At 42.5% G+C, this 14,354-nt stretch overlaps 1 protein-coding gene across 12 annotated transcripts in view; it reads left to right on the forward strand.

Moving 5' to 3' along the window:
- Window positions 1-14,354, forward strand: part of GLT1D1 (glycosyltransferase 1 domain containing 1) — a 131,491-nt gene that overhangs the window by 21,803 nt on the left and 95,334 nt on the right. For 8 of the 12 annotated variants that reach the window (NR_159493.1, NR_133646.2, XR_001748588.2 and 5 more), the window contains exons 2-3: window positions 634-782; window positions 13,359-13,464. Coding sequence is in view for 9 of the 12 variants with exons in the window: in NM_001366889.1 (NP_001353818.1) it covers window positions 634-782; window positions 13,359-13,464 (255 nt within the window). In the remaining 3 variants the exon portion in view is untranslated. Of the gene's footprint in view, window positions 1-633; window positions 783-13,358; window positions 13,465-14,354 lie in introns of those variants that run through there. The other 4 variants (XM_011537957.3, NM_001366887.1, NM_001366888.1 and 1 more) reach the window with 2 other exon arrangements.

Consider the following 14,354-nt stretch of genomic DNA (forward strand, 5'->3'; position numbering starts at 1 on the left):
CCACTGGAGGTGGCAGTGTGTGCCCCATGTCTGAAGGCTGTCAGGGCCTCCTGGGTCAATCTTCCTTCCAATGGCCTCGGTTCCAGCCACAGTCCTGGGTATCTGAGACTGGCAGATGAATGGCTAATGTCATTGATTCTAGGCCTTCTTTTGTATTTTAAGGCAGGGTGCTTACAAAGGGTGATTCAGTAAATAAGTCATCTTGTGGAATTCATTTAAAATCTTAATCATAGTAGCTGAGCACAGTGGCTCATGCCTGTAATCCCAGCACTTTGGGAGGCCAAAGCAGGTGGATTACCTGAGGTCAAGAGTTTGAGACCAGCTTGGCCAACATGGTGAAACCCCGTTTCTACTAAAAATACAAAAAATTAGCCAGGCGTAGTGGTGCACACGTGTAGTCTCAGCTACTTGGGAGACTGAGGCAGGAGAATCGCTTGGAGACCCAGGAGGCGGAGGTTGCAGTGAGCTGAGACTGCACCATTGCTCCCCAGCCTGGGCAACATGAGTGAAACTCTGTCTCAACAACAACAACAACAACAACCAAAAAAAAAAAAAGTCTTAACTGTAGCAGCAACCTGTTACATATTAACATTTTCCCCTCATCTTCTCCTTTCTCTGTATTTTTTGATAAAGGGCCCATCTAGAGGCTGCAGGGCACGTGTGCGTTTTGAAGGATGCCTTTGACTTTGAAAGCCGATCTGAGATTGCAAACCTCATCTTGGCTGAGAACTGCGAGGCTGCCCTGGCTCTTCATCTCTATAGGGGAGGCAGGCTTTTGCAAGGTAATCCTCTTTTTCTTCAAAAGTAAAACACTAGAAATTCTGAAAACCGGAAGTGCCTGTAATGTCCAATAACACGGGAAACAGTGTCTCCTTTTTATCCAGTTCAGAAATGGGAGACATGCAATAATCTCTTTGGTTTGCTTTCTTAATGCACAATTTTCTTAAATGTTATAACAGTCAAGAATGGATGTGTATTGAAACTGTTTTTACCATATTAAAAGTATCATCCTTAATTTTTGTTTGTTTATTTATTTGTTTTTTTGGGACAGGGTCTCTCTGACTCTCACCCAGGCTGGAGTGCAGTGATACAATCTCGGCTCGCTGCAACCTCCGCTTCCTGGGCTCAAGCAATCCTCCCACTTCAGCCTCCCAAGTAGCTGGAACTATGGGTGCATGCCACCATGTCCCCTAATTTAAATTTTTGTTTTTTTTTTCAGGGATAGGGTTTCACCCTTGTTGCCCAGGCTGGTCTTGAATTCCTGGGCTCAAGCAATCCATCCTCCTCAGCCTCCCAAAGTGCTGGGATTGCAGGCATGAGCCTGGCCCTGAATTTTTTCAATGCATATTTCATCTTTCAAAATATATTTTTTTCAAAAGAATTCTTTTACAAATAGAGCACTTATGAAAGATGTTGTTCAACCCATCAATTTATGAGGAAACTACTAAGATGTTAAAACCAGTTTAAAGCACATTTGAGCAACTGGAGTTTAAATAAGCAATTTAATAAAGAATATCAGAGTAAATTCACGAGGTTAGTTGCAGAACTGATTAACATCCAACAAGGCAATGGGCCCCAAGCTTTGGAAGTATCTCTTCTACTGGACAGAAATGATTTACGTCTCTCCCTGACACAAAGCTACAAATGGCTTAATGTAACTTCACAGAGTATGAGCTTTCAATTAATAGTAAATAGTGAAGTCAAACAACAATACACTCTCTCAGAAAATGAGTCTTTAGAGGACCCTTTTAATTATGGCTTCCTAGAACATTGCAAGAAAATGCATGTGGACCTTATTTATTCTTATTATTCTTGACCTTATTTTCAGGTTGTGGAAAATTTTTCTTAACACTCACAAGACCCATCTGACTTTACTGAGAGTATAGCAGCCACCAAATAAAGGCAAGACAGATATTTTTGTTATTGTCTGGCCTGAGTGATTTCCTCAAACATGAATTAAATGACATAGTAGTGGTATCATTTGTGCTGCACCATTTTAAGGGATAGTAATAGCATGTCATTGGAGGATCAAAATTTGCTCTAGTCATCATCACATCAGGATTAAATTTTGGTCAGCAAAATGTGTCACACTTTCAAAAATTTTAGAGGTTTTTTACTGAAGGTGATTTTTTCATTTTTCCACACTGTATCAAACCTTATTTAAGCTCCAGCTCTTTTTCCTGCCTCCTGTTCCACAGGAAGTTGAGCCCTCTCTGAACACTCTCTTCATATATGGGCACATCTTACTATGTGTTCTTTTTTATTTTTTCAGGTAATACATGAAAAATTGCCCCGGTGTAAAATGTAACTGAGTGGTATAGTATGAAAAGTAAGCCTGTCTCCCACCTCTTATCCCCACTGTATTATTTCTCATTTCCAGAGGTAACCACAGTTAACATTTTCTTGTGGATATTCTCCTAGAAATATATGTACTGTATTGATTATCTATTATTACATAACAAATTACCCCCTGCCCCAACTTAGTTGCTTATCGCAGTACATTTGTTATCTAATGGTTCCTGTGGGCATTCAAAAGCAGCTTAGCTGGGTGGTCTGTCTCAGGGTTTCCCATGAGGCTGCAGTCTTATCTGGTGGCTTGACTGGGGCTTGCTGATGTGCATCCATTATAGTGCACTCACAAGGCCGTTGGTGGGAGGTCTCAGTTCCTTACCACATGGTCCTCTCCATGGCCCTCTTGAGTGTCCTCACGATGTGATGGCCAGCTTCTCCCTGAGAGAACCATCAAAAGAAAAGCAAGTTGGAATTTGCCTTATTTTTCATGACCCAGGCTCAGAAGTCAATACAACATGAATCCCACAATATCCTTCTGATTACACAGGTCAGCACTATTCAGTGTGAGAGGGCACTACACAGAGCATGCATATGAGGAGGTTCATGTACACCCATGCATGTATTTATATGTACCTCCTCCCCCATCTTAAACACACACACACAAATGGAAGCCCACCGCTGAATATATATTCAGCATCTTCCTTTTCACCGCTCAGCCACACATCTGGGAACTTTCTCCCATAGTGGCACATACATAGATCTGTCTCATCCATTGTGCAGAGGTGCCATCATTTAAAGTCTTCAATAAATAAATGTTTACATTGTCTTTAATTTTTCTATTTCACCTTTTAGAATGCTTGTCTCTGTACAGACATCATAGCATACCAACTTGGGAGAATATATTTGTGCTTCCATATTTTTGCATCCGTGCCTGAACAATCTAAATGAACTGTTTTCTGTATATGCGGAGAGTGTTTCTGAAAGTATTATTTCTAGAGAGTTATTTTCTGCTGAACAAGTATATGACTTTGAATTTTTTTTTTCTTTTTTTTTGACACAGGGTCTCACTCTGTTACCCAGGCTGGAGTGCAGTGATACAATCTTGGCTCACTGCAACCTCCATTTCATGGGCTGAAATAACCCTCCCACCTCAGCCTCCCAAGTACAGGCATGTGGGACTGCAGGCATGTGCCACCATGCCCGGCTATTTTTTTGGTATATTTTTAGAGACAAGGTCTTGCCATGTTGCCCAGGCTGGTCTTGAACTCCTGGACTCAACCAATCCACCCACCTTGGCCTCCTAAAGTGCTGAGATTAAAGGCATGAGCCACTGCACCCAGCCTTGAATTCAGTTTTAAGTGTAGTGAAACACAGTCTGAGCTTTGTCTCTGAATGTGAAAGAAGTGTAGAGTTTAACTTTCCTTATAGGCCAAGATGAAGTTCGGAATCCCTGATAGCTCAGTAGGAACCTTTGTAAGGTTGTCACTGACTGTTGCAACTCTTTCATGCAGTCACAAAGCCTCAGCCCTGAGTTTAGTGATTCTGTTGACAGTGAGTTGTGTTGTTTTCTTTTCTTTTTTTCTTCAGCTTTTAAGTTCAGCAGTACATGTGCAGGATGTGCAGATTTGTTACATAGGTAAACGTGTGCCATGGTGGTTTGCTGTACAGATCATCCCATCACTTAGGTATTAAGACCAGAATCCATTAGCTATTCTTCCTGATGTTCTCCCTCTTCCCCCACCCCACCCCCAACAAGTTGTCAAGTTGTGTCATTTTCTGTAAAGTGATACTTATTATTTTTTTCTTTTTCTTTCTTTCTTTCTTTCTTTCTTTCTTTCTTTCTTTCTTTCTTTCTTTCTTTCTTTCTTTCTTTCTTTCTTTCTTTCTTTTTTTTGGGGGGGTGGGCAGAGTCTCACTCTGTGGCCCAGGCTGGAGTGCAGTGGCATGATCTTGGCTCACTGCAGCCTCTGCCTAGCAGGCTTAAGTAATTCTTGTGCCTCAGCCTCCAGAATAGCTGGGATTAACAGGTGTGCACCACCATGCCCAGCTACTTTTTGTGTTTTTAGTAGAAACGGGCTTTCACTGTGTTGGCCAGGCTGGTCTCCATCTCCTGGCTTAAAGTTGTTTGCCCGCCTCGGCCTCCCAAAGTGCTGGGATTACAGGCGGGAGCCACCAAGTGCAGCCGGCCCCTGTTATTTCTTTTTAAAGGTTTTACACACATATGTGGAACATTTTATTCCCACAAGTGGGATTAGGTCTGTATATTTAACTCATATCTTAGCTACTTTTCCAAATCCACAAAGCTACATTCTTTTTATTGGCTGTGAGGTATTCCACTGTGACAATGCACCATACTTATTAAAAGTCTCTCTTGTTTTTTTGCTATTCCAAGCAAGGCTGAAGTGTTTTCGATTACATTTCTTTACACCATTGTATGTGGATGTTGGAAATATAAATTCCTAGGAAAGCCTGTGGGTCAAAGGGCTGTGTAACTTTTGTTTTGATTGACAGTGACAAAATGCTATATGGAAAGGTTATTCCAGTTCGTATTCTACTAACAGATGGGCAAGGACTTATTTCTCCTCTAGTCAGATTGCTGGATTTTTGTTTTTTCCTTCAAACTTACAGTTCTCAATTTTACCATGCTTGACCTCTGCTTCAAATAAACAAAGTCATCTGAAGTTAGGTTTGCTTCTTTTAAGAGTTGAAGGAGGAGAGGAGCCCTCTGCAAAACCAACCTATTGCCCAGAGGAAAAAAATCAATTACATTGCTCAATCTAATAAATATCGAGAACTGAAGCCATGCTTACTCTTAGTAAATGTGGTTAAACTTTTACTTGTTCATTCCTAGTTGTTGTCCATATGGAAATTAAACTGTATTTATTCCTCAGGGTTATGTTTTTGAAGGTTAAAGTCTCTCTGTGTAGCATCATGTGTAAAAAGCACCAGAACCATTGTCAGTAAGAAGAGCTGTCCCTGTGCACCGTGAGGTTTTCACTTAGCAAAGTATCTGGGGACCTTCTCTGCACCAGTTGCAGACATTGAGTTGCCCTACCCTGTCATTAACTGGCTGTGTGATATTTCATTCTGTGCATACACTACACATTTCTTAGACAGCCTTCTATTGATTAAACTGTATTTAAAAATATATAGTTCTTATTGATTTTTAAATTACTTATAGAGGTGATTTGGAAACTATGTAAAAATACAAAGAAGAAAATATGGCACCTGCAGTTTCGCCACCCAGAAACGACCACTGTTTGTGTGTGTGTTTTTGGTTTTATTTATGTTTTTATTCAAAATTAAGTTTGCAAAAAAGATATAATTTTACAATTAAGCTTGCAACTTCTTTTAAAAAATATTTGTAGTCGGCCGGGCGCGGTGGCTCACGCCTGTAATCCCAGCACTTTGGGTGGTGGAGACGGGCGGATCACGAGGTCAGGAGATCGAGACCATCTTGGCTAACACGGTGAAACCCCGTCTCTACTAAAAATACAAAAATTTAGCCGGGCGTGTTGGCGGGCGCCTGTAGTTCCAGCTACTGGGGAGGTTGAGGAAGGCGAGTGGCGTGAACCCGGGAGGCGGAGCTTGCAGTGAGCCGAGATCCTGCCACTGCACTCCAGCCTGGGCGACAGAGCGAGACTCCGTTTCAAAAAAAAAAAAAAAAAAAAACTATAGTCCAGGCGCGGTGCCTCACACCTGTAATCCCAGCATTTTGAAGGCTGAGGCAGGCAGATCACTTGAAGTTAAGATTTCGAGATTAGCCTGGCCCGCATGGTGAAGCCCCGTCTCTACTAAAAATACAAAAAAAATTAGCTGACCATGGTGGCGAGTGCCTGTAATCCCAGCTACTTGGGAGGCCGAGGCAGGAGAATCTCTTGAACCCAGGAGGTGAACGTTGCAGTGAGCTGAGATCATGCCCCTGCACTCCAGTCCGGGCAACAGAGTGAGACTCTGTATCGAAAAAAAAAAAAAAAAAAAAAAAAAAAATATATATATATATATATATATATATATATATAAAATTTATAGATATAGATACATAAAATAAATATATTTATATACCTATATAAATATATATTATATATAATATATAAAAATATATATTTTTTATGGAGTATTTAGTATGTGCTAAGCACTTTGATAAATGCTTTGGATGCAGAGATACTGCTGTATCTGACTCTTGCTCTGTAGTTTGTGTGTATATTTTAAAAATTGCAATCATATTATACTTTTAATTGCGTAACCTATTTTACAATATGTTAGAAATAGATGGTCTATATTTCCTCTGTCATTGAATGTTCTTTTGCAGCAAGTTATGAATGGTCCCGTCCTATTTCCATTTCTCCCCTCAGTTTTAAACAATATCATGATGAACAGCCTTCTGCATAAACCTTTGGAGCCCATTTCCTTTAGGATTTTCCAGAAATAACCTTGCAGGATCAAAGGGTATATGCATTTTTAAAGCTTTTCATACATATTGCCAAGTTATAACTAGTCACATTTATATAACTGTGTATATTAAATATTGCTAAGTAAAACCTTAACAGCTTGGAGAAGTGGAAGTTTGCTTTTCTGTTTAAAATTAGTATTTGCTGAGAAAATAATTATATAAAATAGCTAAGTAGAATATGCAAATAATGGAAAATAGCACATTAACAACATTAATACACATTACGGATATATTGCAGGTATAACGCAATTTTTTTTTTTTTTTTTTTTGAGACAGAGTCTGGCTCTTGTTGCCCAGGCTGGAGTACAATGGTGAGATCTTGGCTCACTGAACCTCCACCTCCCGGGTTCAAGCAGTTCTCCTGTCTCAGCCTCTCGAGTAGCTGGGATTATAGGCGCCCACCACCATGCCCTGCTAATTTTTGTATTTTTAGTAGAGATGGGATTTCACTATGTTGGCGAGGCTAGTCTCGAATCCTGACCTCAGGTGACCCACCACCTACCTTGGCCTCCCAAAATGCTGGGATTACAGGTGTGAGCCACCACACCCAGCCTGCAAATGTTTTAAAGAACAATATCAACTTTCATTCCTTAAGGTATGGACCAATTATTATATGAACGTCAAAGTAACACATTATATTTGTTTCTCCCTCTTGGGCATGTCTGTAAGATATTTTTGGCATGCATACCGATCCATCGTTTCAAGTGTGTGTGAACAGAACTTTACAGGTATCCTTAACTTAGATGGAATGGAACCTGTTCCCAGGTAGTGTGCTTTCTGGACTCTTTCCTATACACCCTAAATGGCACACAAGGAAAAACTTAACTTGATGCTGGCCAAGAGTGTGTTAATCAAGCTCCTCCTCTTTCTATTTATTTATTTATTTATTTATTTATTTATATTTTTAATTTTTTTTTTTGAGACGGAGTCTCACTCTGTCGCCAGGCTGTAGTGTAGTGGTGGGATCTCGGCTCACCGCAACCTCTGACTCCCCTGGTTCAAGCAATTCTCCTGCCTCAGCCTCTTGAGTAGCTGGGATTACGAGCACGCGCCACCACGCCCAGCTAATTTTTGTATTTTTAGTGGAGACGGGTTTCATCATGTTGGCCAGGATGGTCTCCATCTCCTGACCTCGTTATCTGCCCGCCTGGGCCTCCCAAAGTGCTGGGATTAGAGGCGTGAGCCACCACGCCCAGCCTTCTTTCTTTTTAAGAATATGCTTTAGGCTTGAGCCTAATAAGGAAGCAGATAAGGTCGGGTGGCTGATTGAGAAGCCAAGTTTAGGGCCGGGCGTAGTGGCTCATGCTTGTAATCCCAGCACTTTGGGAGGCTGAGGCGGGGGGATCACAAGGTCAGGAGTTCGAGACCAGCCTGGCCAACACGGTGAAACCCCGTCTCTACTAAAAATACAAAAATTAGCTGGGCATGGTGGTGGATGCCTGTAATCCCAGCTACTCGGGAGCCTGAGGCAGGAGAATAGCTTGAACCCGGGAGACGGAGCTTGCAGTGAGCTGAGATCGCGCCACTGCACTCTAGCCTGGGCGACAGAGCTAGACTCCATCTCAAAAAAAAAAAAAAAAAAAAGTAGAAGAAGCCAAGTTTAGGAAGCTATGATTTTCTGTTTTTCTCAGCCGATTACTGGGAGAGACAAACCTCTAGCACAAGTACTGATTTAGGAATAAGACCCTTACGTGGGTGGCTCCGAGTCAACTCACTTGGAAAATAGCTTGTGTGCTACTCTTCATTCTCAGTGCATTTCAGCAAATGCTCTTTGAGGACCTAACTTTGAGTGCCATCATATTAGAGCAAGGGGTGCAGACATAAATAAGAGAATCTTCTAGTCTATAAATAAAACCCAAGACCTTATGATACATGGCATGACATAGAAGGGAAAGGATTTACTTCTGAGAGACCTGGAGAAGATTTCAGAAACAAGGGATGACTGAATAGGGTTTTGAAGAGTGAATAAGAGTTTATAAATATATCCTCGAAAAATGAAAAATAGAACTACCGTAGGATCCAGCAATCCCACTTCTGGGTATATGTGCAAAGGAAATGAAATCAGTGTGTGGAAGAGATATCTGCAACCCCATGTTCACTGCAGCACTATTCAAAACAGGCAGGACGGGGAATCAACCTGTGCCCATTGATGTTAAATGGATACAGAAAATGGGGTATATATATATGTAATGGAAAACGAAGGATATTCTGTCGTTTGTAACAACATGGATGAGCCTGGAGGACATAATGCGAAATACAATAAGCCAGTCACAGAAATACAAATACCACATGGTTCTCACTTGTATGTGAAATCCAGAAAGTCAAATTCATAGAAGCAGAGAGTAGTAGGATGGTTACCAGGTGCTCAGGATTGTGAGGAGATTAGGGAAACGTTGGTCAAAAAGCACAAAATTTCAGCTAGGAGGAATACATTCAAGATTTATTGTACAGCATGGTGACTGTAGTGAATAACAATGTATTGTATACTTGAAAATTGCTAAGAGAGGGGCCAGGCATGGTGGCTCATACCTGTAATCCCAGCACTTTGGAAGGCTGAGGCGGGTGGATCACTTGAGGTCACGAGTTCGAGAGCTGCCTGGCCAACATAGTGAAACCCTGTCTCTGTTAAAAATATAAAAATTAGCTGGGCATGGTGGCACTGCCTGTAATCCCAGCTACTTGGGAGGCTGAGGCAGGAGCATCACTTGAACCTGGGATGCGGAGGCTGGAGTGAGCCAAGATAGCACCGCTGCACTCTAGCCTGGGTGACCAAGTGAGACTCTGTCTCAAAAAATAGAAAAAAAAATTGCTAAGACAGTAGTAGGTTTTAAGTGTTCTCATCACCAAATAAATGATAAATATGTGAGGTAATACATATATTAATTAGCTTGATTTTTTTTTTTTTTTTTTTAAGAAATGGGATCTTGCTGTGTTTCCCAGGCTGGTCTCAAACTCCTGGGGTGGAGCAATCCTCCTGCCTTGGCCTCCCAAAGTGCTGAGATGACAGGTGTGAGCTACTGTGCTTGGCCTAATTAGCTTGATTTAGCTATTCCACAATGTATACATATTTTAAAACATCATGTTGTACACCATATATATATACAATAATAAAAAGAGAGTTTGCAAAAATATTTTATCTACATCATGTTATAGCAGAGGACTTCCAGAATTTTTCAATTGTAATCATGGGTGAATTTATAAGTCTTATTTTTTTGAGACAGAGTCGAGACTCTTTCGCCCAGGCTGGAGTGCAGTGGCACAATCTTGGCTCACTGCAACCTCTGCCTTCCAGGTTCAAGCGATTCTCCTGCCTCAGCCTCCCGAGTAGCTGGGATTAAAGGCATGTGCTACCACACCCAGCTAATTTTTGTATTTTTAGTAGAGATGGGGTTTCACCATGTTAGCCAGGCTGGTCTCAAACTCCATACCTCAAGTGATCCACCCGCCTCGGCCTTCCAAAGTGCTGAGATTACAGGTATGAGCCACCATGCCTGGCCCCTCTCTTAGCAATTTTCAAGTGTACAATACATTGTTATTTACTACAGTCACTGAGTAGCTTGGCCAAAGGCATGCCTGTTCTAGGCGGAGAAGCAGAATTCTAACCTGGGGCTGTCTGGAGTGAAAGTCCTGTGATTTCTCCAGATAGGTCAAATTAGCTTTGACATATATGAGTTATTGCTGCTGGTCTGATTGAGTAAGAAAGGGCTGTCATCTTAAGTACTAAATATGTTCACACCTTTTAAACAACCTCGTTGATAGTGTGTATCTTTTAGGTGTCTATTTTTCTGTCTTTGGGAATTTCACTGAAAACGACTCTCCCACTGTTTTACTTAGCCTCCTTTAGTAGCAGTTTTTATTGGGGGAATATCCCAGATATGGTTTGGCTGTGTCCCCATCCAAATCTCTTCTTGAATTATAGCTCCCACAATTCCCGTGTGTTGTGGGAAGGACCTGGTGGGAAGTAATTGAATCATGGAGGTGGGCCTTTCCTGTGCTGTTCTCATGACAGTGAATAAGTCTCTCATGATCTGATGGTTTTATAAAGGGGAGTTTCCCTGCACACGCTGTCTTCTCTTGTCTGCTACCATGTGAGATGTGCCTTTCACCTTTTGCCATGATTGGGAGGTCTCCCCAGCCACATGGAACTGTGAGTCCATTAAACCTCTTTCTTTTGTAAATTGCCCAGACATATCCAATTGCCATGCCAGTTGGGTATGTCGTTATCAACAGCTTGAAAATGGACTAATACAGTCCCTTTGTGGCAATAGGGTGTATCAGTTTCCCACTGCTGCTGTAATAATTTACCACAAACCCAGTGGCTTCAGACAACACAAATTCATCACCTGACCTCCAGTTCTGGAGAATAATTGCTCCCAGAGATGTCCACATCCTACTTCCCAAGACCCCTGAGGCGGTGACAGGGGAGCCTGTTCTGGAGGTTGGAAAGCTGAAGCGGATCTCCCAGGCTGAAATTCAGGTGTCAGCAGCTGCGCTTCTTCCTGGAGGCTCTTGGGGAGAATCTGTTTTCTTGTCTTTTCCAGCCTTGAGGGGCATCCACATGTCTTGGCTCATGGCCCTTCCTCCATGTCCAGAGCCATCAGGCTGGTGAGGTCTTCCTCACTCTGAACTTGATTCTCTGGCCTCCCTCTTCCACTTGTAACGACCCCTGTGGTTATGTTGAGCCTGCCTCGATAGTCTACCGTAATACCCCTCCCCTGTCCCAGCCTCATGGGTCCTGGGAATTAGGATGTGGACATCTCTGGGAGCAATTATTCTCCCTACCACAGATTCATGTCCTTACCATATGAGAAAAATCTTCACTCTGTCTCAACATCTCCCAAAGCCTAAACCCCTGGTGAACCACCTCTACTGGGCGGGCGTTTCTATGTCTCTCTGTGTTTTTGGAAAAGTTCTTACAGGTCTGTAGTAAGAAATTCAAACAATATAAAATGTTACAGAGTGAAAAGTAAGTCTCACTCCCAACCCAGATTTTTTTTTTTTTTTGAGGCGGAGTCTCGCTCTATCACCCAGGCTGCAGTGCGGTGGCGTGATCTCAGCTCACTCCAACCTCTGCCTCCCGGGTTCAAGTGATTCTCATGCCTCAGCCTTCGGAGTAGGTCGGATTACAGGTGTGCCCCACCACACCTGGCTAATTTTCGTATTTTTACAAAAATAGAGACAGAATTTTGCCGTGTTGCCCAGGCTGATCTCAAACTCCCGGCCTCAGGTGATCTGCCCTCCTTGGCCTTCCAAAGTGCTGGCATTACAGGTGTGAGCCACCGCACCTGGCCCATCCCAGATCTGTAGTCTTCCAGGTCTCTTTCCCAGAGGTGACAACAGTTATTATTTTGTGTACTATCACAGATGCTCTGTGCATATAGAAATGTGTGTTTATGGCTTTTGTTTTTGTGCAAGCATCTTTTGTTCACCAATATGCGTTTTTTTTTTGGCCAGTCTTTCTATGTGAGTACACACACACACACACACACACACACACAGAGCTCCAAAAAAAAAGAGTTGGTCTTCACCAATGCACAAGTAAGTTGCTTCTCAAACTGTGCTACTTTTAGCAGCCTTGCTGGAGCCATGTGTATTATTGTTGAGCTTAATATCTGGAGGCTGAATTCATAGCAGTGGAATTCTAGGGTGAGAGTGACCTAGATAGAGAGAAAGAAGATGAGATCTGCTAATTTACATGACAAAAACAATTCAAAGGCCAGTAAAAGGAAAGATCAGTATCTTCTCCTTTAAATATCTTGATAGAAATAGCTTGTTTGAGAAATCTAACTGGGTGAACTCCAGTTAGATCTGGTCTGTTGGGTGATTTGTAGGCCATAGTCTCTCTGAAATTTTTAGGTGACCTTTGGGAGTCCTTTCGGGGAGTCGCTTTTGATAAGCACATCATTCAGCCTGAGATGGGCAGGGCTAATGCCCTGTCCTGCCCATCTGCGCTCATGAAATGTTCATCAAGGAAGCAGGGAGTGGACTCACACACTGCCTCCCATCCGCACAGGACGCGTCACTCGGAATATACATACTCCCTTTGCAAATTCTTTCCCACTTTATGCGCTCAGCATCTTGTGTTATTTTGGCCCTTATCCTAGTTGAGCCTGTCATAATTTATCACCCCTGCTGTACTGAACAGTTCTTGAGGATATTATCAAGGTTGTCTGTACCTCTCTCTCCCCTGTTGTTGTCCCAAGCTAGCACGGTGCCTGTTGGTGTTGATGAACAATAGGACTCAGTTTGGAGAGCCCTTTTTTTGTCATGAATTTTGATGATGGCAGATTAGCCCATTTCCTAGGAATGATAAGCTTGGCTTTGATTGATAGATGAGGCTAACAATATTTTTTATTTGCTAAAGTTTAAAATGAATTAATTGAAAGATAGCCCTGACGACAGTGGTTGGGGCCTCCCGTGATTCCTCTTGGTGTTGTGTTTATTGTAGTGATACCTATTCTGCTATCCAGGAGAGGTGGATGCAGCTAAATGTACAGCAACAAACAGCTCCGGCGATCTGGGAACTTCAGTGTTTAAGATCCTTGCTTGGGAATGGTTGGTGAAGGCTGTTTTTAGGGCTAAATTCTGCTTTGTGACTGTCATCGTTTTGCAGGCCACCGAATCCCTTTTGGAGTCATCTTTGGTGGAACTGATGTAAATGAAGATGCCAACCAGGCGGAAAAAAACACAGTCATGGGCAGAGTTCTTGAGGAAGCCAGGTAATACCTGCGAGAATTTCATCCATGCCAAACATTTAAACTGTGTGAATTGAATTAATTGAAACCAAAGACCGAGGGCACCAATTGCCGGGAAGGTTTACATCTTAGCACTTAAAACCAATTTCATGTAACCTTTTCTTTCATTTGGTACATTTTTATTTGGCCACAAATAGTCATTGCTAACAGGTTATTGCACTTAAGTCTTCAACTACAGTTAATATTAGATAAGCCTCTTTAGAATGGTCTGCATGGAGCCAGGCATAGTGAGGCACGCCTGTGGTCCCAGCTGCTTGGGAGGCTGAGGCAGGAGGATTGCTGGAGCCCAGGAGCCCAAGGCTACAGTGTGCTATGGTTGCAATCCAGCCTGAGTGGTAGAGCAAAGCCCTCTTTTCAAAAAAACAAGTGTTCTGGATGTAGAAAACACGAATCACAGGCAAACTCCAGCCTTAGCAGCACACAAATTAGGATCTAGTTTGCATCAGGTTTGCCCAAGTAGACTATCTTTGGCATGGGTCTTATCTATGTAGCTTTCTGAGCTATATATGCCATTTGCAAGAAGGGTCACCAACAGGATTTCTAAACTGTGGCTTAGGCCTTTTCCTTGGGTATGGCCCTCTAGCTGTCCCAGGGACCTGAGAGGTAGCTGCTGTGAGAACAGCTCTACATGCTCTAAGTGGGGCTTCTTACAGGGGTCACTGTGATAATCCTGGGGGCTGCCCTGCACGTCTCTGATCCCAGATACTGATCATGGGCAGCAGCCTCCAGGTACCACAACTACCTTAGTATGTCTCCCTATAATTCTAATGCCCCCAGGGTGGGGGAAGTTATTATCCCCAGTTGAGAATTCCTTCCAGCGCTGTACTTCCCAACTTTTCCATGTCAATACGGTG

The sequence above is a fragment of the Homo sapiens genome, chromosome 12 (genome assembly GCF_000001405.40).
Source record: "Homo sapiens chromosome 12, GRCh38.p14 Primary Assembly".
In the NCBI taxonomy this organism is placed as follows: domain Eukaryota; kingdom Metazoa; phylum Chordata; class Mammalia; order Primates; family Hominidae; genus Homo; species Homo sapiens.